Source organism: Homo sapiens, chromosome 1 (assembly GCF_000001405.40).
Source record: "Homo sapiens chromosome 1, GRCh38.p14 Primary Assembly".
Taxonomy (NCBI): Eukaryota; Metazoa; Chordata; class Mammalia; order Primates; family Hominidae; genus Homo; species Homo sapiens.
In genome coordinates, this window is record NC_000001.11 from 99239304 (window position 1) to 99244513 (window position 5210).

Sequence of the window (5210 nt, forward strand, 5' to 3'; positions counted from 1 at the left end):
TAGTTAATTCCATCTCCCTTCTCCCAATATTTCATGAGTATCTTTTGAATCACCAACTGAATTGTTAAATATGTAGTTATACAAGTAGTGTCTTTTACTATCACCATATACATCCCTACTGTTCTGAGTACTCATAGACAGAGTATATATACTCAATGAAATAAATGGTTATAGGAGTAATAATCATAATAATAATAATAACAGATGCCTCAGATACCCTTTGCTGCATAATAACTACCCTAGAACTAAGAGGCTTAAAAAAAAATGATGGAGAACTACTTCCAGAATAGCAGTGTGAGGAGCTCAGCAGATCCTTTTCCCAGTGTCACAACCATAGCTGGGAAAATTATATTTTAAAAATCACTTAACAATCTCTGGAAACTGTTCTTAGGGCATACAGCAAATGCAAACATATTCAATCAAGAAAATATACTAAATATCTGAAGAAGCATGAGTCTGTGGCATTTGACAGGTGACATGACAGGTGCCCTTCCTTTCCTTTCAAGCTCGACATCATGAACGCTCCATTCCAGGCAGGTGAGGCCAAGAACAATGTGCTCTCTCTCTCTCCAGCTCCCATTTGAGGGCTGTAGCATGCCCCCAGGCGGAGCAAGTCAACAGCATTTCTCATTCCCCCATCCCCGCTCTGTGTTGCAGAATCAATACCGTAGGCTGAGGACGCACATTTGATTCCTCTTATTGGCAGAGTTCCATTGAGACTGCATAATCCAAATAAAATAATAAATGTATATCAGTGTTGAAAAGACAGGATATGAAGCACCAACAATAATTTTGTCTAATGTCTGGAAATCGTAACGCTTATGTGATTGTATTAAGAGTGAAAACAGAATGGAGGAAATGCCACCACAGCTGGGCTACGAAGGAGGATAAATGTCATTATTTCTAGCAGAATCGCAGAGTCACTGGCACAGAGAGAAGGAAGGGCTAATGTATGTAGCTCTTCCATCAAGGTAGTCATAGAAGACCTGCCACAAATTGACTAAGCCACTTAAACTGTCCAAACACCATGTATTATATTTTCAATGTACTAATTAATTAATCAAACCCCTCTCCACTTTTGGGAATTAATCCTAAAGAAATAATCAGAGTTGTGGATTTTTTAATGAGAACAAAAAATATGATAACAACTCAAATGTCCAACAAAATTTAAAGAGTATGTGTTCTATGCACTAATATGTAAATAATTATCACTATATAGCAAAGTGTTTTGAGTGTTTTCATAGATTTGCCAAATTTTATGTATCAGATACTTGTGAAATAAACATGTGTTTTATGAATAGAGAATTTAAGATGTGTAGAGAAAGAATCATTAAAAATGTTGGTGCATTTTCTTCATCACACAACCCCTGTCGCCTAAGCTAAGTTCAAATATTTTGCCTTCAATGGTTCTGACAAACAGCTTGAAAAACTCTTTGGCTGGCTTTAAAAAAATAATGGACTATCTGTGTCTGCCCAGATGTATGATTATGGTTACAATACCAGCTTCTTTTAAAAGAATGACTACTAAAACCACATGAAAGACCATTCACAAGCATGCCCTAAATAAGAGGATAAAACTGTTTGGAGCTGTTTTGGCAACTGACGCTAAATTATATTGTGTCACATGTCTTAGAAATATGTGAGAAAAGACATACACAGACAAAAAAAAAGAAAAGGAAGCTTACAATTCTAATTTTTAAAGTTTATTGGTTCACTGACTTAATATTTATGTAAGACTGAGGAAGCAAAGGTGACTAATATTCTATGTATGTTTTCAAGTAACCTACAACATAAGGAGAGGTACCAGTATGCATACAAACAATTGTACCACAATGAAATAGATGCTAGAATAGAGTATTCAAATAGATACAAAGTATGATGGGAAGAGATGTGGAAGAGTGATAAACTGAAACTGTAGACTAGATTGTGTATTGCTTTTTCTTTTTTGAATGGTGTCATTGGATAACAAAACAATGGCCAGAAAGTAGCCTGACTGTACAATTCTTGGTCAAGACATAGAATGCTCTGTGAATAGTATCCTTTGCAATTAAGCAGCATGGCAGCCCTAAAAAAGGAAAATATTATGGTCTTTGGAAGTTTACAAAGACCTCCAAATGTTGGTTTTTGACTTCAGCACTTTCTAGCTCCATTAGTTGCTCATGCTTTTATTTGCAAAAGCTTAAGTCTATGACTTATGAAGTAAAGATATCATTATCTCAAGTTACAAAAAAGTGAAACTAAATGCCTTAGTTCACTTGGGCTGGTACAACAAAATTCCACAAACTGGGTGGTTTATAAACAACAGAAATTTGTTTCTTCAAGTTCTGGAGTCTTGGAAGACCAAGACCAAGGTATCCAGTGACACCAAATCTGCAGGTGTCTTGATCTTGGACTTTCTTTCATTTTTTTGTCTTTTAATTCAATAGTTTTGGAGGTACAAGTGGTTTTCAGTCAGATGGATAAGTTCTTCAGTGGTGATTTCTGAGATTTTGGTCCACCCATCACCCAAGCAGTGTACATTGTAGCAGTGTAGAATGTATCCAATATGTAGTCTTTTATCCCTCACCTGCCTCCCATCTTTTCCCTCAAGTCCCCAAAGTCCATTAGATCATTTTTTTGCCTTTGCAACCTCATAGCTTAGCTCACACTTATAAATGAGAGCATACAATATTTGATTTTCCATATCTGAGTTTCTTTACTTAGAATAATGAACTCCAGCTCCCTCCAAGTTTCCAAGTTGCTGCAAAAGCCATTATTTCATTCCATTTTATGGCTGAGTAGTATTCCATGGTGTATATATTCCACATTTTCTTTATCCACTCATTGGTTGATGGGCATTTATGTTGGTTTCATGTTTTTGCAATTGTGAATTGTGCTGCTATAAACGTGTGTGCGTGTGTCTTTGTCATATATTGACTTCTTTCCTTTGGATAAATACCCAGTAGTTAGATTGATGGATCAAATGGTAGTTCTACTTTTAGCTCTTTAACAAATCTTCATACTGTTTTCCATAGTGGCTGTACTAGTTTACATTTCTACCACCAGTGTAAAAGTGTTCCCTTTTTACCACATCTATGTCATCATCTATTTTTATAATAGCCATTCTTGTAGGAGTAAGGTGGTATCTCATTGTGGTTTTAATTTGCATTTCCCTGATAATTAGTTACGTTGAGCATTTTTTCATAAGATTGCCTTTCTGTAGTATTTACCCCATCATCTTCACTACTTGACAAATCTTTGTTTTTATATTTGTCTGTTTCCTTCTGTTAGAATGTAAGCTCTTTGAAAGGCAGGGACTTAGTCTGTTTTGTTTACTGCTGTATGTCCCATGCCTATTCTCCCATGTAGTAGATGCTCAGTAAATAGTTGCTAAATGAATAAATGAGTGGATGGCTAATATACATGCATGGCTACCTCACCATCTTTTTTTGTATACAAAGCATGCCCTTTGTGCAGTTCTGCTATACTGAGGTAAATCCTTTTTAATTCCTCCTATCTGATTCTCTCCCACAGTAATGTATTGGAATCCAGGAAAAACTGCAATCCTTGGAATGTACTTTAATCTAGCTCTTCAGACTTCCTCTGATCCTGCTTACTGTATTTCACTTGGGGAATTAAGTTATCTGAATTCAGTGCAACATTGCAAGTCTCTCCCTGTTTGTGTTTGGAAGTTGTAGTCTCTGAATGAATGTAGGAACACTAGGATAATCCCACAAAGTAGCAATTCCAGAGGAAAAAAAAATAGCCCCTCATTTTCCTGGTTTGTACAAAACAATTATTTGAGCCAGAAGCCATTTGACTGAAGAAGAATTTAGATTTTTTTATCTTTTCTCAGATGGGAAGAATTGCTTATCTTCTTGAAACAAAGCATGAGTAAGATATCAAATACATTTCTCAATTAATGGAAAATCTACTCTGGTTCTAACAAAAGATTAACAATTATAATGTTCAGTGTTGTATGTTTTTATTATTTTATTGTTTATTTTTATGTTCTCAGTATGTTTTCTAGAAAATATGCTAAGCTGGTTATCATCTATTAACCAGATAACTTTTTCAAGCTGAAGTCAGAATTTGTCATGAAGAAACTAGTAAACATCTGTTAGTGATGTTAAAGAAAAACATTCTGCATCCGATTTCTAGATTGAATTAGGTGAAATTTAAATTTTCTTCCAACTTTCATATGCTCTTGAAAGTAAATATATCTAAAATTTATTCGAAGAAAACATGTTTAGCAAATATAAAAACATTGCCTTACATTTACTTGTTTCTTTAGCATTCACATATTACCTGCACAAACACTAGGCAGAAGCTGCTAATTGCTCACCTGAATGTCAGAATTGTGATTTTGTTGGGTTAGGCAATGTGCCCATCTTGAAAATTACATTACCCCATTTCTGATGCTGTTAGGCCTTTTCCCCTCCTCCTAGATGGAGAAGCCAACTTGTGACTAAATAAGCTCAAAGTAAGAATGCAGGAAACAGTAAAAGAAACCTGGGTTCAGGGAGGATTCATGGAATTTCTGTACCCACCCTGGACTACCAACTTCTGGTACTGTCATGTGAAAAATAGCAAATTCCTTATTTGCTTAAGCCACTTTTGTGTGTGTGTGTGCGCTATTACTTGCAGCCAGAAGCAATCCTAGCTTTTTCACACTGTACATAAAAAATATATTATATATATTTCTCCCCTATGCCGTTTTAAAAATACTGAAGAGCTAATAGAGAGTAAGGATTAATTACTAAGCCAAAATTGAAAAAGAAAACAAGAACCTGGAGAGATAGTTGAGCACAGAAGCTACTTTTGGTCTTAAGGCATTTGTTAATACTGGAAATTCAGAACCTACGTCTTGGTTGCTTGTAGGGCAACAGTGACAGAAGCCCAGAGCAGGCAACAAGTGGGGCTTACCCCCCGTAGTGAGCTAGGACCATGGTAGGTTACATCCTCAGGGTAAAAGTGAACCAGAAATAGTATAGCCCTTTCAAGGAATTGCAGCCCCTTTTCAAGTTGTCTAATCAGGAAATCTCAACTTGACTTAAAATGATTTCAGGCTGATAATCCTACCAGTCACCCAGCAGGAGCAACTGCAAAACTACTATGTCAGAACTGACCTTAACATAAACTCCTCAACACATTGAAAAACAACTTTTCAATTATAATTACCAACATGTTTAAAAACAGTCAAGCCTACAAAAGTTGATGGTGACAACCAG

The 5210-nt window shown here is 35.9% G+C and overlaps 1 annotated feature.

The window, feature by feature from the left end:
- Positions 390–684: a silencer, noted in NCBI's record as "tiled region #9288; HepG2 Repressive non-DNase unmatched - State 24:Quies, and K562 Repressive non-DNase unmatched - State 24:Quies". NCBI's record gives its function as "represses a minimal TATA promoter and a strong SV40 promoter by Sharpr-MPRA in HepG2 and K562 cells {active_cell/tissue: HepG2 | K562}" and the evidence as "EXISTENCE:reporter gene assay evidence [ECO:0000049][PMID:27701403]".